We start from the raw sequence: 26,212 nt of genomic DNA, 5'->3' as shown, positions 1-26,212 counted from the left end.
GTGCTGTGGGTTCTTCAGCAAGTGACTCAGCTTCTCTGGACATTAGTTTCTGTGTATGTAAACAATTAACATAAATTTCCCTAGTTCATTTTTTCCAGCTCTAGTCTTCAAGGCTTATCTTCCCAGTCCAAGTCTTAGCAAACCACCCTCCCTCAACCCTCAACCAGCTCTGGCCTCAGAGACCCTGCCTTTCTTGGGGCCCAGAACATTGCTTGGGTTCAGAGTGCTTTACTTACCCACCAAAATTATTTTTCTGGGGGTCTCCTGGCCATGCTCTCAACTCCCCCAGGATCAGAGCCATGTCTGACTCACAGCTGCTTGTCCTGTGCCTAGCTTAGAATCTGCACCCAGCAAGTGCTCTGTAAATACTTCTTTTGTTGTTGTTATTAATTTTATTTTTATTTTTGTAGAGATGGGGGGTCTCACTATGTTGCTCAGGCTGGTCTTGAACTCCTGGGCTCAAGCAGTCCTCCTGCCTCAGCCTCCCAGAGTGCTGGGATTACAAGCAAAAGCCACCACACCTGGCCCATAAATACATCTTGGAGCTGCCTCCTTAAGTGGAATGAGCATGGGCTTTGGAGGCCATGCAAGCAGGAGGGCAGTGAACATAGTGGTTAGTGTGCAGGCTGCTGGCAAACCCAGACCCACCTGTGTGAGCAGTGTGGCCTCGGGGAAGTCACTTAAACTGTTTCCTTATCTGTAAAATGGGACAACAGTATCTACCTCCTAGAGTTGTTGTCAGTTTATATTGCTTAACTTATGTAAAAACACTTGTAACAGTTCCTGGCAGTACTAAGCCATCTGGTTCAAAAGCAATTTGCTGAGAGACCTTAGACAAGTTATTTGACCTCTCTGAGCTACATTGTTCTCATTGGTAAGAGCATCTACCACATAAAGTAATCATGAGGATTACTGCACTGGGTCTGGGTCCCCTGAGTCGTCCTGCCCTCCCTCTCGCCTTCCTCTTGGGCACCGACCTTTCCCTGATGGCTGGATGAAGGGGCAGCCTCACCATCTTGGCACTGCCCAGAGCTTCTGGGCAGTCAGGACATGCAGGCTGCAGCCCCAGCTCTGGTCGAGCAGTCGGCCTCTCTGAACGGGTTTCCTCCTCTGCAGAATGGGGGCACAAGGCTTCCAGGAAGGTCTAGAACCATCCTTAGAGATGCCAAAGGGTTTTGGCCCCAAGATCAGGCTCCTCCTGCTCCCTCTCTGGAGACAGCCTGCCCAGCTCAGCATCCCTCCTCCATCTGCGGGGCATTCCCGGGGGGGCCGCCAGTGGGTGGCTGCTCTCTCTCCCCTCTGTGCGGTGCCAGCCTCTCCATCTGGACTGCCTTTCTGGCTGCCCTCTCCCCCTTGCAGTGTCCTGGCTCCCTCTCAGACTCCCCAGGCTGCCCCTGCCCTAAGCCGCCCTTCATTTGCTCTGTTGCCTGGCCAGGTTCGACCCCCACCACCGGGCACTGTATCATTTCTGTATCTATGGCACTGCTTCATGAAACTCACTCTTCTCTGCCCTGGGAAGTGGCATCACTCTCCACCCTGTCCCCCCACAGCCAATCAATTACTAGGTCTTCCCTCCTCAGCAGTCTCTGGTCTGGTCTTGGCCGCTCCCCCCGCTGCCAGCATCTAGAAAGCTCTTTCCACCCACTCCTCAGCCTCTCACGCCATCTGGCCTCCTCCCACCCACCCACTCTCCAAACTAGCTCTCTGGAGTGCAGACCTTTCCAAGTCTTAAAAATCCACAATGGCACATACGTTGGAATACTATTCGGCCATAAAAAGGAACGAAGCATTGACACATGCTACGGTACAGGTGAACCCTGGACACATCGTGCTCAGTGAAAGAAGCCAGCCATGAAAGCAGGATTCCATTTATATGAAACAGGCCCAGCACAGGCACATCGAAAGAGACAGAAAGTCGATGCGTGGTTGCCAATGGCTGGGGATAGGGGAGCAGGGGGAGGAGGTGCTAATGGGGAACAGGGCTTCTTTTTGGGGTGATGAGTATGTTCTAAAATTGATTGTGGTGATGGTTGCACAATTCTGTGAATACACTAGAAACCACTGATTTGTATAATTTGTTTTTCTTTTTTGAGATGGAGTCTCGCTCTGTCACCCAGGCTGGAGTGCAGTGGCACAATCTCGGCTCACTGCAGCCTCCATCTCCCGGGTTCAAGCGATTCTCCTGCCTCAGCCTCCCGAGTAGCTGGGACTACAGGCGCGTGCCACCATGCCTGGCTAATTTGTATTTTTAGTAGACACGGGGTTTCACCATGTTGGCCAGGCTGGTCACGAACTCCTGACCTCAAGTGATCCACCCGCCTTGGCTCCCAAAGTGCTGGGATTACAGACATGAGCCACTGAGCCCAGCCTTATTTGTACAATTTAAATAGGCAAATTGTCTGGTATGTGAATTTTATCTCAATGAAGCCACTATCTTAAAATGTCCACATCAGCTCCCCAAGCAGACATGGGAAGCCCAAACTCTGCAGGGCCCCTGGGCCCCAGGGGGCTGGTACTTGCCCACCACTCCTACCTCAGTGTCTGGTGCTCTCTCACACTCACCTAGGTACAATACCCCCCCCCCCACCAGGCCCACCCCACACCCCTGGCTTTTGTCCATCTGCCCTCATTGCTTAGAATGCCTTCCCTTCACCATCAGGCAAACTCCTAGACCCCTTTAAGACATCATCTCTTCTAGGAAGTCTTCCCTGAGCCCCCTGGCAGGGTCTATTTTATTTATTTATTGAGACGGAGTCTCGCTGTGTTGACCAGGCTGGAGTGCAGTGGCATGATCTTGGCTCATTGCAACCTCTGCCTCCCAGGTTCAAGTGATTCTCCTGCCTCCGCCTCCCAAGTAGCTGGGATTACAGGCATGCACCACCACGCCGGGCTAATTTTTTTGTATACAGTGCCTATTTTAATTACTTGCTTATGAATGTGTCTACCTGGCTGGACTGTAAACTCCCAGTATAATGCTGGGTTTCTAGTGGGTGATGGGTGGATGAATGAGGGGCTGGAAGGGGATCGAGCCCCACCCCCTTAGTTGACATTTGAGGAAACTGAGGCCCAGAGAGGAACAGACAGACATAGCTCTTCAGTAGCAGAGGCCAATTCTGATCCCAAGTCTACTGTGTGACTGTGGGGTGCACTGGGGCCTCAGCTCCCATCAGCTACCTCTGAGAGGTCTGGGTGGCCACTGCCCACAGTGCCCGGGGGGCCACACCACTCCCAACTTCTGGGTGGGAAGGGAACCTGTCCTGCTGGCACCTGCATGTCACGTGCAGAAGTGGGAAGAAGACAATGAGACCTGAAACACAGGAAGGCAGTTGTACCTCTGACGGGCGTGTGGGCTTGGGAAGGCCTCCTCCCCTTTGAAACTCAGTCTCCTCATCTGGAAAGGGGGCTGATGATCCCTGCATGGAATAATGACAGAGAGAGCCATCGAATGGGTCTCTGCTCCACTGTGGCCTCTCTGCCAATCTTCCACAGTCCCTGGAGTGATCTGTTTAAAATGAATCAGACCTGCGGCATCTTGTCTAAACTCCCTCGTGCACCATTTATCCCCACTGCACTTAGAATAGACCCACATGCCTAGCCTGGCTACAAGGCCTGTGAGGTTGGTCCTGATGGTCTCCTGGACGCTTCCCCCTCCTCCTCTCACTCACTGCGCTCCTGCCTGTGGTCATCGAATGCGCTCTCACCTCCAGGCCTTTGGCCAAGCTGTTCCCTCTGCCCGGAAGGCTTTCCCTGCTCTTCCCGTCGCTGGCTCCTTTTCCTCCTTCAGACCCCAGCTTAAATGCCACCTCCTCCGAGAGGCCCACCCTGACCACCCTGGCTAAAGCAATTGTCTCTTGCTGTGTTCTGTCTCAGTCTCAGTTTCCTTTACTGACCCTCATCACAATTTGTAATTATATTAGAAAACGGTTTGTAAACTTGTGTGTTGTGTTTTTTCATGCACTGAAAGTACCTGGAAAGGGGAGGAGGAGCCGGGTCTGTCTGGCTTTCATTGTTTCTCCAGCCCCTAGCAGAGCCGCGGGCCGGTCGTAGGCACTTGATGTGTACAGGTTGATTGAATCAATGTGCCTCTTACAAGGTACCATCACAATCAGATAAGAAGGTGGGTGAGAAAATATTTAGCTGAGTCTGTGCCTGTCTGGGTACCACCAGAGTCATCCCGATCTTGCCAGCCCATCATCAGGCTCACATTCCTCTCTGCCTCCCATTTGTTCTCCCCATGGTCTTCCCAGGGACCTGTTGAACAGGGTACTGACCAAAGCATCTCGGTTTTCAAACTGCAAGTCCTGTATCCCAGAAACTCCCTTAGTCTTGGGCAAACTGGGAGGATTGACCATCCTACTGTAAGCTCTCCAGCCCCATCTGTCACCTCTCTCATCTGCTTGCAGCTCCCTGGACATCGGGCCACATATGCTGGTCCCTTTGCCCGAATGCCCTTCTCCTTCATCTCCCTGGCCCCTTGGATTGGTGAGTCTGATGTGTGTGCCCACTTTTAGGCGGCCTGCCCTCCATTCTCCTACAGCGCCAGCTCACATCTCCGCTGTAGCACCCAAGACATGCTCCATATGCAGTGGTGTGCTATTAAACTGGCAGTTGAGGGGAAAAGAAGCCCTGATTGGTTGTGTTTGCCAATTTGTGTGGTGTAAATACTCCCACCAGAGCAAATGCCAAGGTACCAACTTGAGATCATTAAACCCTGACTTGGGAAAGAATGTGCACAGTCGGCTCTTGCAAGTCAAGCTCCAGACCACCACTGGACTTACATGGCACGTGATTTTGTTCTGCCCACTGGTTGGTGAACCTTGGTTGGGGTAGGGGCTGAGTCTTTCACTTCTGCATCCCCAGCACCTATCCCAGGACTTGGCACATGGTAGGTGTTCAGCCAATTTAGTTTTGCTGAATGAAGGCAGGTCTATCTCCCTGGTTGGACAGTGAGTGACTTGAGGGGAGGGGCTGTGGATTTGAATGGATTGATATACACAAAGCACTTAGAACACAAGGTAAGTGCCATGTAAATGGCTATTATTACTCATCCAGCATGGAATGACAAAAATAATTCCATTAGGTACTTTCCAGGTGGCAGGCCCAGTGCTGTGTCTTACATGGATTCTTTCACTTATTCCACAAAGCACCCACCCAACTAGGTACCATTATCATTCCCATTTTACAGATAAGGAAACTGAGGCTCAGGGAGAGTGAAGTGACCGCCCTAAGGTCACATAGCAAGTCAGTGGCACAGCTGGGGTTGACCTCAGATCTTCGTGATCCAGAACAGCTTGTGTCCAAATACTACTGGTCCCAGAAATTAGTGAGTGGTGAGTGTCACAGCTGGACACCATCTTGTCAGGCCTGCCGAGGGGACGGGATTTGCTGGAGCCTCTCAGAAGGGCAGAAGTAACGCCTGGTCCTCAAACTCAGGTCTCAGGGCTCGAAGCAGCCAGCCAGCGCCGGCCTTCTGCAATCGCCCAGAGCCCTTGGCCAGGCAACCCAGGGCAGGATGGCAGCAAGCCGAAGAAAGGAGGGAGGATTACAGGGAAACAGATTTTCTCCCCGCCTGCCCCTGGGCTCTGGGGATAGGTGATAATTGACCAAGTGAGCCCTGAGTCAGGCCGAGGCAGGACTCCATCTGGGCCTGGCACGGTGGGGCTGTTAATTGGCATCAGGTGATCCTCAAAACCTCAATGGCTGGCCTGCTGCCTCTGCTCCCCCCTCTCCTCCCAGGGACTCTGGCTTAATCCCAAAGACAACTGATGCCACCTCAGAGTCAATCGCTGGGTCAGGCCCAGTGTGTCAGGCTGCCGAGGCTTGGAAGGAGCATCTCTGTCTTCCTTGGGGTTCTGTAGACCAGAGGGCGCTGTCTGTGGCTCTGGGTAGAGGTGGCATCTGAAAAGGTCTGCACCCTGGGGTTGAGTTCCTACTCCCCAGACCTGAGCAGGAGGTCTGATGAAATTGAACCTGGGCATGGACTGTGGAGCTACGGCCAGGGCTTAATTCCAGTCCTGCCTCTCATTAACTGTGTGACCATGAGCAAGTTACCTAACCTCTCTGTGCCTAAGTTTCTTGTCTGTACAATGGGAATAATAATATTGATTATATTTGTTGGGAAGATTAAACAAGTTAATGAAAGTAAAGCACCCATAACAGTGTCTGTCTGGCTCATGTTAAGTGCTATGTAAGTGTTGGCTATTATTATATTCATTTATTCTTGGCCTCCATTTGCTATGTGCTAAGCACTGGAGATAATACTGAGATAAAGAAGACATAGTCCTTGTCTTCAGAAGTTCAGGTCTAGTTAGGGAGACAGTGAGTTGTAAATTTATTCTACAGGCATTTACTGAGTCCCCAGTAGGTGCCAGGTACTGGGACTTTGAAACAAAAAGCCTCAGCCCTGGAACATAAGAGACCATGACTAAGCAGGGGGCTGAGATGCCTTCCTTGAACCAGGCTTACCTGCTGGCTGCTGTGGGCAGAGGGGCCAGGGAGCGGGTTCTGGGGTCAGCAGTGGCAGGTTTGAAGTGCAGCCAGCTCGCTTTCCTGCCTTGGAATCTCTAGGAAGTCAGTTCTGGGTTTCAGTTGGGGAGAGGAGTTTGACTGGATGGAGAAAAGAGTCTTGGTCCCAGAGTAGGGGGGCTGGCGGCTTCACTGCCATTTGCTCTGTGAACCCAGGCTACTTCCTGCCCACTCTGGGCCTCAGCTCTACTGGATTTGAACGGATTGATACACACAATTCAATCCAATCATTCAATCCACAATCCAAGGAAGGCGCTGCCTGGCACCCCCTCTAGGGCTTCTTCCAGCTTGGGACTCCAGCTGTGGGTGGCTCAGACACCCAGTGCTGGGCTCTTACATTCTCTTTGAACTGTGGAAAGACTGATTTGCATATTTTCAGGGGTTTGTGCCATGTGTAGGGCAGGGCTGGGCTTGCTGGGTTGAGTGGGTGGGGTTTTGGGGTCTGCCTCATGCAAAGTGGCTTTTATATTTTGCCTGCTTCCTGCTTTTGCTGTAAGGTTAACCCAGCAGAGTCAGTCCCTCTGGGCTGGGCTGGGCTGGGCATGATGCCTGGTCCTCCTCCGTACTGTGGGCAAAGCTGCACTGAAAGTAGGCAGCTACCTCCTGAGATGGAGAGGAGGTGCTTCTAAGCACTGTGTGCCTAGGATGTGCCCAGTGCTGGGCCAGGAGCCTCCCTGGTCCATGGCCTCCTTGGACCACCCTGTGCAATGGGAGGTGTTATTCCCATTTTAGAGATGAGGAAACTGAGGCTCACAGAAAGGAAGCACTCTGTCCAAATCACATAGAGACTTAGGGTCAGAACATGTGCCTCCACAGTCCATGTTCTTAATTTTTTTTCTTTCTTTTGAGACAGGTTCTCACTCTATCACCCAGGCTGCAGTGCAGTGGTGCAATCACGGCTCACTGCAGCCTCGACTTCCTGGGCTCATGTGATCCTCCCACTTCAGCCTTCCAAGTAGCTGGGGCTACAGGTGCACACCACCATGCCTGGCTAATTTTTGGTATATTTTGTAGAGATGGGGTTTCATTATGTCGTCCAGGCTGGTCTTGAACTCTTGGGCTCAAGTGATCCTCCTACCCTGACCTCCCTAAGTGCTGGGATTACAGGTGTGAGCCACTATGCCCAGCCTTAGTCCATGTTCTTTCTAAAACCCCCATCCTTAAGGTCCCTGGAGCTCCTTCCCACTTGATGAAGGGTTTCCCTTCTTGCCCGTTTACTCCTTCCCTTCCTCCATCTTCCCCCTTCCTAGACAAGACAGCTTAAGTCCAGCAAGTGCCTCAGGGCCGGTAGCTCCCACTGGGACCACCCAGGGGCTGTCAGTCATCCTGCCCCAATGCCCAGGTTCCTCCTGTCTGCCCCTGCTGGGACCCGGCTTTGTGGAACCCAGCCAGCAGCTGACAGGACAAGGCTGAGGTGGGTAGCTGCATGAGCATGCCTCCCCTTTGCCCAAGGGGGCACCCAGGCCTCGCCAGCCAGGCCCCCACCCCTGCCATCTGTTGAGTCACTCCTCTGCTCAGGACCCTTCGGTGGCTCCCTCATGCCCAGGGAGAGTCCGGCCTGCTTCAGCCTCCCCTTCCACGGTCCACCTGGCCAGCTTCAGCTCCCTCATGCTCCCAGTCACACCTTGAGCTCCAGCCACCGCAGGCACTGCCAGTTCCTGGAACAAGCTGTGCTTGGTCTCGCCTCTGGGCCTTTGCTCAGGCAGTTCCCTCTGCCTCATATGCTGTCCCAGCTCCCACCCAGCTCCTTCTTGTCCTTCTTCAAATCTCACTCCAGCCCGAATCAACTGTTGGTCCTTTTCTAGGATGTCCCCTGCCAGGGCTGGGTCTGGGGGTGCTCTTCTGTGCTCCAGGAGTGCCTGGCACTGTACCTCTGCCACTGCATGAGTATACAGGATGGTGACTGTCTGCCTCTCCTAGGAGGCTGTGAGCACAGTGACAGTGATGGTGGGTAACCCCGAGGTCTGGCACCAGCCCCAGTGTCTGGCTGAGAGGTGATCGATAGAGGCTTCAGGAATTGTTTGTCGCCCAGGCTGGAGTGCAGCGGCGCGATCTTGGCTCACTGCAAGCTCCGCCTCCCAAGTTCACGCCATTCTCCTGGCTCAGCCTCCTGAGTAGCTGGGACTACAGGCGTCCGCCACCACACCCGGCTAATTTTTTATCATATTTTTAGTAGAGACGGGATTTCACTGTGTTAGCCAGGATGGTTTCGATCTCCTGACCTCGTGATCTGCCCGCCTTGGCCTCCCAAAGTGCTGGGATTACAGGCATGAGCCACCGTGCCCGGCCGAAAGGCGGAATCTTGTGCTTAAGCTCATTCAACTTGTGTGTGGACTGGAGATTTTGCTCGAGGCCTCTGGAATCCTCTGAGCTCCTCCTGGAGCCCCTGGTGACAGGCTCTCAAGGCATCCTACCTTTGTCCCTGGCATTTGATTAACATCTGTCTCTCCACCTCCCATCTCCCCTCCTCCTACCAGCTGTGAGCTCCATGAGGGCAGCCACTGCACCTGCCCTGCTGACTGCCTGGTACAGAGCTGGCACAGAGCAGATGCTCCATAACGGCTCTCTGAGTGACAGGCTGCAAGGTCCCCTGGCCCCAAGGCCGGAGCAACCGGGACTTTCATGACTGCTGTGTGTTCCCCAGTTGTAGGGGGAGCTCACAGTCTCCCAGGGGAGCCAGACACTGAACCCCACAGTCTGTAAAGGCTGGTGAGCTGGTGAGGGTGTTTCATGGCCTGGCTCTCCCAGCCCCTGGACCCCCGCATTGCCCCCAGCCCCAGGTCTGGCCTCCCTTCATGATATCCCAGCTTCCCCACAGTGGGGGCTGAGAGCTCCCGCCCTCCCAGCAGGCAGCCCCATTCCTCCAATTTCCTCCCAATTAATCAAGCTCTGAACTTTTTAATTATCTGCCTGCAGGGTGGCTCCCCACTCTGGTGAAGCAATTAAGGAAGGACATTTCCAAGTGTTGTGTGGCTGCCGGCAGGCAGCGTTGACCAAGCCCTGATATCAGGAGGAGCTGGTGACAGGAGGGGTGGGCAGGAACCCCCTCCCCAAAATGGGCTGCTGGGAGGTTGTCCTGGGGTCCGAGCTGGAACTCTTCTGGGAATCTGGGGCCACACTATACAGGGTAACCCTCTCCCATTCATTCAATGGCTCTTTCTCTGTAGCTAGAATCTGACTTCAAAAATCCTGGCTACCACGTGCTAGGCACTGGGGTAGGTGCTTAACAATGTTGCTGCATCTTCACCTTGACTCTGGGAGGAAGAATATGATGATCTCTGTTTCACAGACGAGGACATGGAGGCTCAAAAACATGAACAACTCCAGATAGGTAGCTGGAATTTGAGGCCAGCTCTGACTCCACAGCCTCTTCATTCTATTGTCTTCTGAAAATCAGTGTGTGGTCTGTAAAAGTGCTCAGGGCACTGAGAAAGGGGAGTGGGTCAACCTCTGGAGGAGATGCCCCCAAGCTGGAGACCTGCTGAAGAACACAGGCCATCTGTGTGCAGGGCTGCTGCTGGGACAGGGTGTTGCAGGGAGAGGGAGTGTGCAAAGGCACAGAGGCGTGAAACAGCATGGTGTGCGTGCAGAGAGCTACAAATAGTTCAGGGTTGCTAGCACGTGAGGTTCAAGGCCAGGAGAGGAAGGAGATGAGGCTGGAGAGTAAGGCAGGGTCTCAGACATTGGAAGTCAGCAGAATCTTCACGATCTTCTGGGCTAAGTTCCTTATTTTATGACTACAAAATACAAGACCCAGACAGGGACAGGGACTTGCCTAAGGTCACACAATAAATGAGTGGCCAGCAGAGCTGGGGTTGCAGCCCAGCTATGCTGATGCCCACATTGGAGGGAAGAGAAGGGGCAGAGGAGTGGGAGCATCCTCACATCACGGCAAAAGCCTAACTGGCTTCCTGGCTTTCTCCCTTGCTCTCCCATGTCCTTGCCCTCCTCCAGCTGCATTCAGCCTTCCACAGCAGCCAGGATCCTGCAGAACAGCCATCAGCTCATGTCGCCCAAAGGCCTCCAACAGTTTCCATCTCACTTGGAGTAAAAACCAATAGCCTGGGCACGGTGGCTCACACCTGTAATCCCAGCACTTTGGGAGGCCAAGGCGGGAGGATCGCTTGAGCTGAGGAGTTTGAGACCAGTCTGAGCAACATAGTGAGACCTTGACTCTACAAAAAAATTTTAAAAAATGAGCTGGGCGTGGTGGCACAAGCCTGTGGTCCCAGTTACTTGGGAGGCTGAGGTGGGAGGATCTCTTGAGCCTGGGAGGTTCAGGTTGCAGTGAGCTGAGAGCCCACCACTGCACTCCAATCTGGGCAACAGAGCAAGACCCTGTATCTAAACAAAGATGAATTTCCAAAAAGAAACAAAAACCCACAAAACAATAGCCTACAAAGCTTCCTTTTTCCTCTCTGAACTCCCCTCCACCCGCCTGGCCTCTTGCCCACTCCAGCTGAGCCACACTGACCTCTTGGCTGCCCTGAGAACACCAGCCTTCTGCTAGCCTCAGGGCCTGTGCATGCGCCGTTTCTCCTGCCTGGTTCAAGTCCTGGTTCCATCAGTTCTTCCCTGAGCCTCTCTCCGGGCCTCATCTCCTCATCTATATTTGGGGTTCATGCCACATCCCTCACCCTCCTGAGAAAATGGGGACCGATCGAGTATCCCCTTCTCCCCAGCTGGAGACTATCACTGCCAGTGGGCTCATCAGGCTGCAGCCTCCCAGCCTGTAATCCCTGGGACTCACAGATGCAGGAATAGCGAGTGTTAAACAATAATCACGATGTGCCCGAGGGGAAGTCGGATGTGTTTGCAAAGCTTGACACATCTGGCAGGGCCAGGCCCAGGCCCCTCCCGCACATCTGGCTGCTGTATTGACAGGTGGTGTAGTGGGCCACCGAGGTAAGGCCTGGCAGGCCCAGTCCTGGTACCGTGAGGGTGAGATGGACCTGGCGGAGCTGGGGAGCATCTCCCAAACCGCCCCACGTGCGGGTCCCCTGTTCAGGCCATCCACTGTACCTTGTTGGCTGTGTTCTCAGAGAAGAACTTAGGGCCCAGAACCCTGGCCCTCAGATTCCTAAATCCCTACATCATTCTGTCGGTGTCTGGTACTGGCCACCCCTGCTGGGATTTGGGGAGCCTGGGAAAGCCCCCTCCCCCTCCAGAAGGGAGGGTGCTTTTTCAGGGTCACCTCATGTAGCACTTCCCCTTCTATGGGATCCAGAAATGTGGTCATCAGCTGCACCTGAGGGAGCCCCTCCGGGCTGAGACTGGCCTCCTCCCTCCTCCCACCTGCCCCAAGAAAGCCATGGTCATTAATAAAGGACACAATTAGCTGTCAGCAGAGAACATGTCTGGAATTTTTTACCTGCTTGGTGAGCTCGGTTAAGGCAACAAACCCCCGGACCCCCCGGGGATGCAGCTGCCACACACCTTTCAGGGCCCCTTTACCCGGGCCCAGGGCAGGAGGGCACCTGTGAACTTTTTCAGTGTGGGTTCTGCAGGCCTGGGCCTGTGCAGGGCAGTTTTTTTTCCAGGCCAGTGGAGAAAGTGACAGAGCAAGAGAGATTCCTAGCAGAAGTTGTTTTTTTTCAATCCAAGAGGCAATACCATTCAATACAATTTTCTCCCACTTCCTGTGCCGACTTAGAGTCTTTTAGGGCTCGAAGGACTTTAGAGAAAAAGTTAGTCTCTTTATCATTTCATTTTACAGCTAGGGAAACTGAGGCCTTGCTCAGGGCAGAGAGGACTAAACATGCTTCTGTCTTTGGTTCTATATGGATCCCCTGGTCCGCTGGATCCCACAGTTAGAATTTGTTGCCAAAGTCTGAGAGAACATTCTGAAATCTGCAACGGTTGTTCCACATAGACTGCTCGGTTCTGGTTATGTGCTGGGGCTGGGGACCAGTGAGGACTGAGGAGACACAGGCCCTGACCTCAGGGAGCTGATAGTCTAGTGGGTGAGAGAAGGAGGGAAAGAAGCAATAGACAGATGGAAATGACACACACACCTCGCGATGGGTCACGAAGGAGACGGACAAGGGCTGAGATCGGTCCTCAGAGGGATCACTTTAGGGACTGTGGGCAGAAAAGGCCTTTCTGCAAAAGTGACCTTGAAGAGGCAACACCTGAGGAGAAGAGCATTCAGCTCAGCAGTAACAATATTTGCAAAGGTGGGAAAATCTCAGCACCACAGATCCTCATCAGTGCAGCAGCAGTGGGAGTGGGGTATTAACAGAGACTTAATACCCATTTGCTCTTAACCCCAGCTGCCCGTGATCCCAGACAGAAAGAAGTACTAAGCTCTGGGAGGGACGTCCTGCTTGGGCACCTTTGTTCTAACAGTGCTATGATGTTGGAGATTTGTCACCCCCATTGTACAGATGAGAAACGGAGGCTCCAAGCAATGAAGTGCCATCCCCAGCGCACATGGACACCAAGCTCAGAAGATTGAGCCTCCACCACCTGCCTCTCTCTCCCTGCCTTGTCTAAGTGTCTTCCAGAACCACTGTATCCCCCGGAAACCTGGAAGGTTGCTCTGCTTGTGCCCCAGTGGCCTGTGACTTGAATGCTAATGAAAATCCCACTCGAGGTCCCAGCATTTGGCATCTCTGGGAGAAGGGATTAGGAAATACAAACAACAAGGATCTTGATTGGGAGGCCTGGAATCACTCTCCCTCCTAGGGGTACAGAACCCGTCACCTTCCTCCTGTTGACTTCTGGGGAGCAGGAGAAGGCCTCAGCTAACCCAAGCCATAAATCAAATGCACAAGATGTGGCTTGGCAGCCACCCCAGTGAAAAAGACCTGGGGGTTTGAGTTGACCACAAGCCAAAAGCTGCTGAAAAAGCCAATGTGATTGTAGGCTGTAAGAGTAGAAGTAGAGTGACAGCCAGCATCCTCCTGGTAGCTCAGGCAGGGCTAGTTTTGGGCTCCACATTTTAAGGAGGTCCACCGAGCGATAGTGGACAGGCCATCTCAGGCCTCCAGCTTGTTTTCCACTATCTCTGAGTGGTGCTGGAGTGGATCGGGGTGAGGTCCCAGGTATGAATTCTCTCAGCAGCAGTCACGGGCACACAGCAGAGTTCTGGAGGCCTACTTGTCCTGGAAAATTCCCTAGTCTGGATCCCTAAGAAGTATGAGTTCTCTTCTTAATCTCACTTGGCTCCTACCTCCAAATCTAAGCCCTCCTGGACACTGAGGATTTGAGATCGTGTGTGTGGTTCCATGAGGGCCTGCCCTTGATTTGAGGATAGACTTACTCCATAAAAACTCAACAAGCTGTTTCTCAATGATCACTTTGTGCCCAGCTCTGTGTCAGGCACTAGGCACAGAGTTGAATAAGACATAGTCCCTGGCCTTGAGGCTCACCGTCTAGCAGGGGAGAGAGAGTATGATTAGCTAGGGGTACCCAGGAAGGCTCTCCAGAACAGGAGCCACTTGAATAGGGTATTAAAGGATGAGTAGGAGTCTGTCAGGGTCAGAAGAGACCAAGGACATTTCAGACAGGCAGAACAGCATGTGCTGGAGGCATGGAGGGACTGGAGCACAGGGTGTATGGGGGGAAGGGTTCAGACACGAGGTGAGACAGTTGATCTGGGATTATGTCACAAAGGGTTTTGTGTGCTTGGTGATGGAGTTTGGGGTTTTATTTTCCAAGAGCAGGGAAGCCAGGGGAGATCCTATTCCAGTGCCCAAATGGCCACATAGCCCTGGTGCCCTCAGCCCTTTCCTCCAGCAGCCTGCCTGGGCCCTGGGCCCCTCACACTCCAGCCCACCTGCCCTGGCCTCAGATGGCCCTCTCCCCCGTTTCAAAGCTTTCCTGTTTCCTTTTTGTTTCCTCCAGTTCTCTCCCTTCCCTAGGTCTTGAGCCCTTCCTCCCCTGTTGTGTCCAGCCCCACCTCTTTACCATTAAAAACGAACTGAGCACCTATTAACAACAGCAGCCACCATTTATTGAGCAGCTGCTGTGTTCCAGGCTTCATATAAGTTATCAGGGGGCTGTGCTTCCCAGTGGTTAGGGGCACAGGCTCTGCAACAGGGTCCTTCTGGCCTTGAACTCTGAGTCTGCCACTGACCTTGGGCAAGCTCCTCAAACTGTCTTTGCATCTCCGTTTCCTCATCTGAAAAATCGATTAATGAATAGGACTTACCTGCAGTGAAGACTTGGAGTTAATAAGCATAGAGTGTGTGCTTGCATCATCAATTCCTACAGCAACCCCATGAGTACTATTGATATTCCCACATCTAGAAGAGGTGATGGAGGTTCTGCGGGGCTGAGTAACCCACTCCAGCTAGTGTTGGAACTGGGAGGGGAGTGTGGGAGCATTACATCTGAGGCCAAAGGCAGGGTCTTAACTACTCTATCACATGGCCTCACCTCCTCAAGGCTGGTGCCTGGGCTGGGCTTAGGGATCCACAGCTCAAGGGGCTCCCAGCCTGGTGGGGAAGATGCCCCGGTCAGTAAGCAGTTTCCAAACAATGTCTGGGGAAGCCTGTGGGGAAGAGGCGCTGGGTCTGGAAGCCCAGAGGAGGGGTCTCTACCACTGTGGTTTCCTGGAGGTGCAAACACTTGAGCTGCGTTGGAAGACTAAGAATGACAAGACAAAAGCAAGAAAGGAGAAGCATGCGAGGCTGAGGGAGCAGCGTGGGCGGAGGGGTGGAGATGGGAAACTGCATGGCAAGGCTGAGGACCTGCTGCTCGTTTGAGGCAGCTGGAACCCAGAGTCTATGGTTGCAGAGATGCAGGACACGAGGCTGGAGAGGCAACAAGCCGCCTACCCAGCAACAGGTGCGTGCCAACCTCTCCATGCCCAAGGCCTGCAGATCGGGCAGTTCTGTCTTTGGCAGGGCGGTCTGTGAACCTCTGGAGAAATCAGGAAGAAGTCTGCCCGGTCCCTGACCTAGGACTTTCTTTTCTTTTTTTTTTTTTTTGAGACAGAGTCTCACTCTCACTCTGTGGCCCAGGCTGGAGTGCAGTGGCACAATCTCGGCTCACTGCAACCTCCACCTCCCGGGTTCAAGTGATTCTCCTGCCTCAGCCTCCCTAGTAGCTGGGATTACAGGCGCACGTCACTATGCCCGACTATTTTATATTTTTAGTCGAGATGGCGTTTCACCATGTTGGCCAGGCTGGTCTCGAACTCCTGACCCAAGAGATCCGCCTGCCACAGGCTCCCAAATTGCTAGGATTACAGGTGTGAACCACCGCACCTGGCCACGCCCTGGGACATTCTTGAATCATTAAGTCCTTTGCAGCAGAGCAGGTACCTGGGCATCCTGGGCTCCTCTGCAGGGATCCTTAGGGTCTAACTGATCCCAAACTTTCCCAGGGCCAAATGGCTTCTTAACAAGTTACTTTAAAATACTCCCATCCCCAAAACTCACCAAGATCCCACACCTTCTCAGTTTTAAAGGGTCAAAAGTTGAAAATTACAAGACAACAGCAAGATTTGCAGCAAAAGTGATCTCTGGCCAACAGCCGGGAGACTTTATGACAAATTGCCTAGACATGGCCATTTAGAGCAATCACCTTTAAATGGTGCTTCAGACTTCCCCTAAATGTCTCCTTTATTTGAACAATGTGTTTATAGGGCCTGGGGCTGCTGTGCTGTCTGTGTACGTGTGTGTGTGGGTGTGTGTGTGTAAAGAGAGAGAGAGAATCAAAGCAGAGGAAAATGACAAACCTCTAATCTTACAGACCATTCTTATCTCAGCCCTTATAAAAATGAGGAGTCCTGGTTGTTTCTAAAAATGGCTCTGAAAGTTCATAAACTTGACAAGCACTTAGCTCTAGCACCCACAGACAAGGACTAATCCTCGAGAAAACTGGAGATGAGGAGTCGGGAGGCAACTTGTGGTGAAGGGCAGCCTGCAAAGATAGCCCACACTGTCACCAAGTGAGGGCTTGAGACCACAACTTCCTAGCTTATTTTCTCTGACCTCATGGGAACTCTGCTTAGAAGGGTCTCTTTAGTTCCAAAAGCGGCCAGAACTAATGTTTTAACATTTATCTTCTATTAAATGACGGTTCACACTTAGTGCTTACCGTGGGGCAGATGCTGTTTTAAGTGCGTTATATGGATTAATCATGTAATCTCAAATTATACTATAATTATCCCCACTTACAAGGGATACAGGCACAGAGAGGTAAGTCGCTTGTCCAATGTCACTGATGCAGTGAGTGGTAGAGGAGGGATCTAAATTGAGCTGGACACCATGTGCTTTCAGCCACTGCTCGCTCACCACTCAGGAGGTGGGACTCCACGCTGGATGGAGCCTAACTCATCATCGTCACCTCCTCTGCTCTCATCGCAACATCCTGATGAACTCCTGGCCCTGTTTTATAGCTGAGGAAACTGAGGCTCTGAGCATTCAAGTGGCCTGGCCAGGAGCACACAAATCCGGGTGTGGGCAGAGCCAGGGTCTACTCCTGCTGCCTGGTTCCAGGGCCCGAGTACCTTGCAGGGTATGGAGCTGCCAAAGGCCTTCAGCTGCAGGCAGGACCTAATGCCCTCTTGATCTGACCAAGGACCCCAAAGGACTGGGATCAGTCAAGGTCCCAAGGATGCTGGCCCCAGGCTATAGGCTTCCTTCTTGGGGGCTTCCTGGGGGATCCGGTGCCTGGCCCAGCTTCGTCTCCTCAGAGAAACAGTGCTGTGCTGTGGTTAGCAGTGTGTGCTCTGGAGCCGGCATCACCACTTCCTAGCTGAGTGACCTTGGGTAAATAATATAACTTTTCTGTGCCTCAGTTTTTCCACCTGCAAAATGGGGATAATAACACTCTCCCTCCTAAGGTTGTTGAGAAGACAGCTAATACTCATGAAGCACTTAGACCCTGCTGTCAAACTGGACAGGCTCCTGCCTACCCCTAAGACCCCTCTCACTATAGACAGCTGCCTGGCTGGGCCAGCCTCTCAGCTGCCTGGGTCTCCTGCCAGCCCCTGCCCCTGCAGAGACAGCAGCAGCACTCTGGGTTCCAATCCCAGCCCTGCTCTTCCTGGCTGAGGCTTTTGGGCACATGAGCATATACCTCTCTGAGTCTCTGTCTTCTTATGTGTTAAACAAGGGCAATAAGCCTGTTTTAATAACAGTGTGGCAATGTACGTTAGCTCAGCCATTGTGGAAAGCAGTGTGGAAATTTCTCAAAGAGCTTAAAACAGATGTACCATTTGACCCAACAATCCGAATATTAGGTAGATGCTCAAAGGAATATAAATTGTTCTACCACAGAGACACATGCACATGTATGTTCACTGCAGCATTATTCACAACAGCAAAGCCATGGGATCAACCTAAATGTCCATGAACAGTAGAATGAATAAAGAAAAGGTGGTACATATACACCATGGAATACTACACAGCCATAAAAAAGCCTTTGCAACAGCGTGGATGGAGCTGGAGGCCATTATCCTAAGTGAACTAACATAGGAACACAAAACCAAATACCACATGTTCTCACTTATAAGCGGAAGCTAAACATTGAATACACATGGACACAAAGAAGGGAACAAGAGGCTGGGTACGGTGGCCCACGCCTGTAATCCCAGCACTTTGGGAAACTGAGGTGGGCAGATCACTTGAGGTCAGGAGTTCGAGAGCAGCCTGGCCAACATGGTAAAACCCTGTCTCTATTAAAAATACAAAAATTAGCCAGGCATAGCGGCAGGTGGCTGTAATCCCAGCTACTCGGGAGGCTGAGACAGAAGAATCACTTGAATCTGCGAGGTACAGGTTGCAGTGAGCTGAGATTGCACCACTGCACTCCAGCTTGGGCAACAGAGTGAGACTAAGTCTCCAGAAAAAAAGAAAAAGAAGAAGGGAACAAAAGACACTGGGGCCTACTTGAGGGTGGAGGGTGGGAGGAGAGAGAGGATCGAAAAACTACCTATTGGGTACTATGCTTATCACCGGGGTGATGAAATAATCTGTACACCAAATCCCCATGACATGCAATTTATCTATATGACAAATCTTCACATGTACTCCTAAAATAAAAGTTAGGAGAAAAAAAACACAGTGGCAAGAGCAAGGACTTAGAATTAGACAGACCTGGGTCTCTGCTTCTTGCTTTCTGCATGGTCTTGGGAAAGTTGCTTGAACCCCCAGAGCCTCAGTTTCCTCAGGTGTAAAATGGGGACACTCCCTTGCAAGGTTTTATACTGTGAGGACAAAATGAGGTTACAGTTGGATGGTGCCATGTACTTGCAGGGGCTCAGTAAGTGGCCATTAGTATTACCTATTTCTCCTTGCAGGGATCCTTCACTCAACAGATACGATACCCTACCATGTGTTCTAATTGCTCAGATTCAGCCACAAGCAAAACAGCTAGGTTCCTACTTGAGAATTTATCATCAAATGGGGAAAATGAAAAATAAACAGGTATTAGATAAATACAGGGGGATGTGCTAGAGAGTGCTGGGGGGCTGCTTTGGCTGGTGGTCAGAGGAGGCTTCTCTGAGGATGTGGCATCTGAGCTGAGACCTGAAGGACAAGAAGGTGCCAGTTAGGGGGAGTTAGAGGGGGAGTGCAGGGAAGGGTATTCCAGGCAGAGGGAACAGAATGTACAAAGGCTCTTCCTCAGAGGGAATGAATAAGCCTGGGGCTCAGTTTCAGGCTGTACAGAGGTCTGGCCGCTGAAGCAGGTGAATATGGGGGAACTGAGTGGGAAACAGGGCAGAGCAGGAGGAAGGAGCCAAAACTGTGGGCCCCATGGCCACAGAAAGGAGGCTGAGGGTGGCTCTAGGTGTGATGGCAAACCATGGGAGGGTTTTGGTGGGGCTGGGAAGTGGCTTGTGATGTGAACAGTTCCCTCTGTCTGCTGAGTGAGGAATGGGCTATGGGGGCACAGGGTGGCCAGGGAGGAGGCTGCACCATGGTTCAGGCACGGATGACTATGGATGGACAGGGTGGTGACAGTGAGGGGTGGAAAGGGGCGGTCAGATCTAACAGGGACCCATAAGTAAGTTCTTCAGCCTTCGGTAACACCCCACGCGAATGCGAGGTAGTGACGAGTGAGATGCTGTGTTATCCTTCTGCAAAGGAATAAACGTATTTCCTTTGGAATATTTCATGATTTCAGCACCGCCTCTCTGCAAGGACTCGCAATCAGTGAGCTGGCTGCCCATCGAGAGCTAGTAATTAGACTTCTGGGACAGGTGCCTGGGGGGCTGGCAGAGCCTCCTCTCTGGGCTATGCAGAGTCTGTAGCCACGCTGCTCCTTGGCAAAAAGTTGAAAGAGAAGAAAGTTACTCCCGACAGCTCTTTGCTCCATTTTTAGGGTTCTCCTGTTGCCCCTCACCCAACCCCAGGCATGTGGCTCCTCCAGCTGTCCCGAGGCCCCATGGGACCCCTGCTGGAAGTCTCAGATCTTGCCCGGCTCCTGGCATCGGCCCTCTGTCTCCAGCCCTGCCCCATTCTCTCTGATGTCAGCTCATGCTGAGAGAGGCCAGGGATGTGTCTTTGCCAGGGAATCAAAATGTTACACTGTCTGTACCCCGCATGCATTAAAACAGGATCCCTCCTGGAGACAGCAGGCCTTCATCCCAGATGTTCATCAAATGATGGACACTTCCGGCACTGTGACATATACAGCAGGAGTGACCATGGGGCCGACAGGGCATGGGGCTGCCATTCACATCTCGCCATGGCCTCCCCCTGCTCCCACCTTCAAGACTGAGTCACCCCCGAAACCAGCCTGACAATCGCCTCTTTCTAGAACAATCCTACCTTCTGCTTCTGTGTTTCCTAAATGTGGCCACGTGCATGCCTTCCACCCCCACAGCCTCGAGGGAGATGCCATCTCTATTCCCCTGTCCTGATGAGGGGAGTGAGGCTCAGAGAGGGAAGTCTCTGTCCAGGGATATATGGGGTGTTGGTGGCAGAAGTGGGCCAAGGTCCCCACTGGCTTGGAGTTGAGCATGGCCTCCTTTGCACTGAGCCCTCCCTGCAGTCCAGACTCCCTCCTGCCCTACAAGGACTTAAACGACAGCAAGAGGCCCTGGTTAAGATCACAGGAACAACAAGAGGCCATTTATGGGTAGTGACACACAGGAATGGACAGCAAAGCATGTGTCCTCCACAAGCTTTATAACTGACCATGACAACTACTTAGATAAGACACAGTAATCTTGGATCATTCAGGCACTAACCTGCTGCCATTCGTCTACTAATACCATGATTAGAGCCCGTCACACTGCTCTAGAGTTGGTGGTATGCAGATTCATTCATTTGTTTATTCATTCATTCATTCCACAGATACTGATTGAGAACCTGCTATGTGGTGGGCACCTTGCTGGGGACAGAGATGCAATCTCTGCTCCTAGTAATTGCTACTTAGTCTCCTCTGTCAGACAGTGAGCTCCTCAGGTGGCTAAAAGAGTGGCTTTGGGAGTCAGACCACTTCCTGGCTGTGAGACTTTGGGTATCTTTCTGTGCCTCAGTTTCCCTATATGATAAATGAGGGTAATAACAGTACCTAACACAGGGGGTTGTTGTGGGGATTAAATAAATTAACATGTGTAAAGTGCTAGGATAATGTGTCTGCACGGAATGGGTGGTTAGCTCCATTCTTCCATGTTCTAAAATGACTTGGGGAGCCGGGCATGGTGGCTTATGTGTGTAATCCCAGCACTTCGGGAGGCAAAGGTGGGCGGATTGCTTGAGGCCAGGAGTTCCAGACCAACCTGGGCAACATGGCAAGATCCCATCTCTGCTAAAAATACAAAAATTAGCCAGGCGTGGTTGTGTGTGCCTGTAATCACAGCTACTTGGGAGGCTGAGGCACGAGAATCGCTTGCGCCCAGGAAGTGGAGGTTACAGTGAGCCAAGGTCACATCGTTGCACTCCAGCCTGGGCGATAGAGCAAGACTCCACCAAATAAATAAAATAAAAAATAAAATGATTTGGGGCATTTTCCATCCAAGGTTTTACCACCCTGATGGTCACTACTAGGCTTGATTTCTAACAATTGTGTCCCAGACTTCCTCCTCTTTTAATCATCCTGGTAGAGTATGCAAAATTTATTCATCAGGAGCTTATCTATCAAGAGTATCTTTACACTTGTGCTTAAGTAGTCATCGTTATTCCTTCAATAAATATTATTTTTTGAATGCCACACACCACGCTAGAGGCTTTAGTGACATCATCTCATTTAATCCTTATAACATCCCTATGAGTTTGGCACTATTTCTCCCATTTTGCAAAGGAGAAAACAGGCTTAGAGAGAGGCTGCATGACATCTCTCTGTCCATCCATCCATCCATTCATCCATCCATCCATCCATCCACATATCCGTCCAAGATTTACTGAGTACTTACAATGAAGCAGCCAGGCACTGCGCCAGGGCTACGTTCAAGTCCCAGCTAGTAACAAATGAGATCCAGTCCCTGCCCTATCCGGGCTCCCAGCCTAGACCTATGTTAAATAATTAGCAGTATGATGAGGGCTACAAGTGAAGGAGTGTAGGGTACGATAGGTGAGTTCAGTAGGGGCTTGACCGTCTAGTTCACTGGGCTTCAGCTCAAAACAGCCTAGAAACTTCCCTTCCTACCTCCTGAGTTTCTCCTCCCAAGTCCCAACTTTGCCCATTCACCAGGGTTGGTGGCCCTGCTACGATGCCTTCTAATGTCAGTTCATAGATGTCCTTCATCCTCAGACACCTGAGGCATCTGGACCCTATCCAGGACCCCATGTTTGCCATGTATTTGCTGGCTGAGTGCTGATTTCAATGTCCTTTCCTTTGGGAAGCCTTCCTTAACCACCACCCTGCCCCCTAACCCTGTCCTTGAATAGCCAGGTTGTTCTCTTCTCCAAATTCCCACAGGGATTTGTGTATATCCCTGACTTTCTCCCCATATCACAATTACTTCCCCTTTGACTTTCTTCTCCCCCAGACTTTGAGCCTCTTGCTGACGGTCACCAGGCCTTACTCATCTTTGGTGGATACTCCATAAGAGTTGCTTTCAGGAGCAAATGGAGATGCAGAGTGAGTGAAAGACCCTGCGTCTGAGTGTCAGAACAGATCGTTCTGGCCAAATGGCCTTGGGCAAGTCCAGGGTTAGGATTTAGGGTTGGTATGCATAGTTTCAGATTGCCCTCCAACTCTGACCAATTGACTGGTGGTTGCCCAGAGTGTTGCGTTGAGATTCAGAAGATCCTGAAGTAGCATGTGGGTTGGCAGGAAGAGCATCGTGATTGATTGGTACTGTCTGCCTCGGATTCAGCAGAGAAGTGGCAACAGGTGTTCCTCATTTCTGATATCCTGGGAAAGCTGTTTTGCTTTTTAGGGCTTTGTTTTTCCTATCTGCAAAATGAGCAGACTAGACTCAATTATACCTGACCCTCTAGGATTCTGAACCCCACACCCTTCTCTAGTATGATTTTTCTTTTTTTCTTTTTTTCTTTTTTTGTTTTGTTTTTATTTTTGAGACAGAGTCTCACTCTGTCGCCCAGGCTGGAGAGCAGTGGTGCCATCTCGGCTCACTGCAAGCTCTGCCTCCCGGGTTCACACCATTTTCCTGCCTCAGCCTCCCAAGTAGCTGGGACTACAGGCACCTGCCACCACGCCCGGCTAATTTTTTGTATTTTTTTTAGTAGAGACGGGGTTTCACCATGTTAGCCAGGATGGGCTCGATCTCCTGACCTCGTGATCCATCCGCCTCGGCCTCCCAAAGTGCTGGGATTACAGGCGTGAGCCACGCACCTGGCCTCTAGTATCATTTTCCGAAAAATCATACTAGATTTTCGGGGACAGGAGCTACATGCTAGCTTACCCCAGGGCCTGGTGCATGGAAGGTCTTGAGTAAATGCTGGTTGGATGAATAATCTTACTTGGTCACCATAAGACTCTGTAGGGAGAACAGGGCTTATGATTCCATTTTAACGTAAGCGGAGCTAAAAGGGATAATGAAGCAAAAGCGCATGCCCAGGGCCACACAGTTAATGCCTATACTATTCCCTGGGTCTTCTGACTCCTGGCCTATGCCCCTTCCCCTGATTAGTTTAATGTGCCTTTCTGAACAGATATGTTCCCTTATGTCAATCTAATAATGACTGTAATCACCAACCTTATTGCATTTTGACTCTACAAAGCATTTTTACATTGGTTATTGCACTTGAGCTTCACTGGGATCGGGGGTGACCATTGCCCTGAGATGGCAGAGTGGAACATGGATGTCCAGAGAGGGCATGGGATCTGCTAGGGTCACACAGATCTGGGACTCAAACCCAGGTTTTTCAGTGCCAAACCCCGGGCTCTGTTTATCTGCCCCTTACTAACTAGCTCTTAAGTTTGATTCCATCTCTTTCCTCGTGGCCACCTCTGCTTTTTCAGGAAAGATGAAAGAACAGAGACATAAAGGGATGAAATAGGAGCCAAGCTCCCCTATTCCTTGAGGCCAAGCCCCACCTTGGGTCACCTCTTTGGGGGAGGCCTAGAAAGGGAGGGAAGGGGTCATTAGACCCAAGCAGTGGGGCACCAGCTGGACGACAGGCATCCTCGGTCTTCCTGGTGACCCCAGCCTGGGTTCACACCAGCTGGGTAAACAAGAGCCAGCCCTTCCAAGGAATGGGGGTGGGCTGGGGGATTCCAGCCCCTCTCAGGCTGCCGGTCTGTTGCTAAGAATTCTGGGAAGGAGTGGGGAAGGCCAAGGTGAGAAGCTGAATGGGAAGGACTGGTCTGGGACTGTCCTGAGGAAGACAGGGATGATCTGGAAACAGATGGGAAAATGGCTGAAACTTGGCGTTCACCTTCTCCCTCTCCTTGCTTCATACACGCCTAGTTTAATCTACTAAACAATGTGCAACTCTGGGTATGTTACTTGGTCTCCTGTGACTCAACTTTCTCATCTGTAAAATGGGCCCAAATTCTTCAGGACTAGAGAAACTCTTTTATCTCTCCCACCTACACTCATGTTAGAGAACCCCCATCCCTCTCATAAACTTGTGACTCTGTAAACATCACATCCTCCCCACCCCGCACAGCAGCTGGCCAGCACAAGGAAAGCAGGCATCTATGTGTGTGCAGGGAGTCATACTAGTAAGTCTCTCTCCCCGACTGTGGAAATGGCCCTAGAAAGGGGACTGGGGGTCCCAGGGGCCCCTGTGACAGTGGGAGAATGGCTTCCCCCCTTCAGGCCTGAGCTGCTTTCTTTATAACATTGGGAGCTGAAATAATTAGGACCCTCTGGTTGGGACGTCTTTTGAATGACTGACAGCTCTCCCATCCCTGACGTTGCTGATCCAGTGCCCAAGCCTGTCTGCAGACTTCTCCATCTCTGCACACTCAAATCCAGTTCAGGCCCCCCTCCCCCGCCGTGTAGGGCCTCTCCTGGTCTTGCTCCAGCCACTTGGAACCACAAAGGCCCTCTTCCCACCTCCTGTACCTCACAGGACTTTGTCTGCATCTTTGAGGAAACAAAAAGTTTTCTACCAGGGCCCTGGGCTGTCTACCTCCTGAGCCTGTGGGCTCTTTAAAGAAAGCTCTGTCTTCTCCTCCGTTTCCCCAGTGCCCAGCACAGGGCCCAGAGCACAGCAGGTGCCCACCACAGCTTTGTCCATTGGACAGAAGAAATGAACAAGAGGGCTGGCCTCATTTCTGCCCCCTTCCTGGCCCTGGTGCATGCTACAAAAGGCCAGGGGTCACTGCGGCTCTGAAATCTACTCATTTTCTTGAAACACACAGAAAAGGTGAGACAAAAGGTGGGAGAGGGCTAGGGATTTCAGCCATCTGGCGGGATCTGAGGCTGCAGGCCACGCACAGGCCCCCAGAAGGTCAAGTTCAATTACTGGCTGGCTGTTAAGACCTTACCTGGTTGATCCCTGACCTAGCAGTAGCCATTACGCACTCCCTCCTGCATGCAGGATAAAAATGTCCAACGCACAACATTCTACGGCTTCTACGGATCAATGTACCAAAATACATGCCCATTGAAGCAACTGCTCACAAAACCACAATAGCTGTCTTCCTCCAGTGTTTTCAAACAATGGGAAGATGGGGACAAGTGAAAGGGCCTCGGCGCACTCCTTGTCTGGTTCATCTTTGTGCCTCCGAGAGCCTGGTGTAGAGTTGGACTCAGCACAGTCTGAGGAATGAGCGGCTCTCCCCCACCCTGGTGCAAGCCGAGCTCTCTCTTGGACGCACATGCTCTGTGGAGTGTAGACGATCAGAAGGCTTTGGGGAAATCAAAAGCGGCTACGCTGGAAAGGCCGGGGCCCCTCTGGAGAGGCTGCTCTGTGGGGCCCCCGAGCCCCTGGGCCGGTGATTCATGTCTCGCTTGCTCCGGGTGGGAGCACAGGCCGAGTACGAGCTGAATTCATAAGACCTTTCTCTGTTTCATCTCACAGATGTTTCTGGGATGGATGTGTCAAGGAAAAAAAAAAAAGGCTGAAGTTGAGAATTCCAGCTCAGCACATGTCCTCCAGCCCTCACAGACATGACGAGGGATTAAAACGCCTTTTCTCCTCATTTGCCCAACATCTCAGGAGAAAGCCAAGTGGCGTCCCCATCAGGGCTGTCCTGGGCACCCGCTGGCTACGAAGACAACCTCCTCATTAGCCTGGCTTTCCTCTGAAAATGAGCTCACACAGACTGCATTGTGCGTGCCTGTGTGAACGTGTGTGGTGTCAGGTACCCCTTACCGTGCTCCAGACCCATTCCCATATGGAATAAAGCTGACTTCCGAGTA

The 26,212-nt window shown here is 51.8% G+C and overlaps 1 protein-coding gene across 7 annotated transcripts in view, besides 6 other annotated features; it reads right to left on the bottom strand.

The window, feature by feature from the left end:
- The window catches only part of EPHB2 (EPH receptor B2), a 210,663-nt gene that overhangs the window by 59,618 nt on the left and 124,833 nt on the right, over positions 1-26,212 (bottom strand).
- Positions 6,931-6,990: a silencer, noted in NCBI's record as "silent region_403". NCBI's record gives its function as "represses an Ori minimal core promoter by ATAC-STARR-seq in GM12878 lymphoblastoid cells {active_cell/tissue: GM12878}" and the evidence as "EXISTENCE:reporter gene assay evidence [ECO:0000049][PMID:35858748]".
- Positions 7,480-8,041: an enhancer, noted in NCBI's record as "H3K4me1 hESC enhancer chr1:23180335-23180896 (GRCh37/hg19 assembly coordinates)". NCBI's record gives its function as "activates a minimal SCP1, AML or CMV promoter by ChIP-STARR-seq in naive H9 embryonic stem cells {active_cell/tissue: H9 hESC(naive)}" and the evidence as "EXISTENCE:reporter gene assay evidence [ECO:0000049][PMID:30033119]".
- Positions 8,042-8,605: an enhancer, noted in NCBI's record as "H3K4me1 hESC enhancer chr1:23179771-23180334 (GRCh37/hg19 assembly coordinates)". NCBI's record gives its function as "activates a minimal SCP1, AML or CMV promoter by ChIP-STARR-seq in naive H9 embryonic stem cells {active_cell/tissue: H9 hESC(naive)}" and the evidence as "EXISTENCE:reporter gene assay evidence [ECO:0000049][PMID:30033119]".
- Positions 10,988-11,487: an enhancer, noted in NCBI's record as "H3K4me1 hESC enhancer chr1:23176889-23177388 (GRCh37/hg19 assembly coordinates)". NCBI's record gives its function as "activates a minimal SCP1, AML or CMV promoter by ChIP-STARR-seq in primed H9 embryonic stem cells {active_cell/tissue: H9 hESC(primed)}" and the evidence as "EXISTENCE:reporter gene assay evidence [ECO:0000049][PMID:30033119]".
- Positions 11,488-11,989: an enhancer, noted in NCBI's record as "H3K4me1 hESC enhancer chr1:23176387-23176888 (GRCh37/hg19 assembly coordinates)". NCBI's record gives its function as "activates a minimal SCP1, AML or CMV promoter by ChIP-STARR-seq in primed H9 embryonic stem cells {active_cell/tissue: H9 hESC(primed)}" and the evidence as "EXISTENCE:reporter gene assay evidence [ECO:0000049][PMID:30033119]".
- Positions 24,342-25,289: an enhancer, noted in NCBI's record as "H3K27ac-H3K4me1 hESC enhancer chr1:23163087-23164034 (GRCh37/hg19 assembly coordinates)". NCBI's record gives its function as "activates a minimal SCP1, AML or CMV promoter by ChIP-STARR-seq in primed H9 embryonic stem cells {active_cell/tissue: H9 hESC(primed)}" and the evidence as "EXISTENCE:reporter gene assay evidence [ECO:0000049][PMID:30033119]".

The sequence above is a fragment of the Homo sapiens genome, chromosome 1 (assembly GCF_000001405.40).
Source record: "Homo sapiens chromosome 1, GRCh38.p14 Primary Assembly".
NCBI classification, from domain to species: domain Eukaryota; kingdom Metazoa; phylum Chordata; class Mammalia; order Primates; family Hominidae; genus Homo; species Homo sapiens.
The sequence above is the reverse complement of the archived record's forward strand: the minus strand, read 5'-3'. Positions and strand labels throughout refer to the sequence as shown.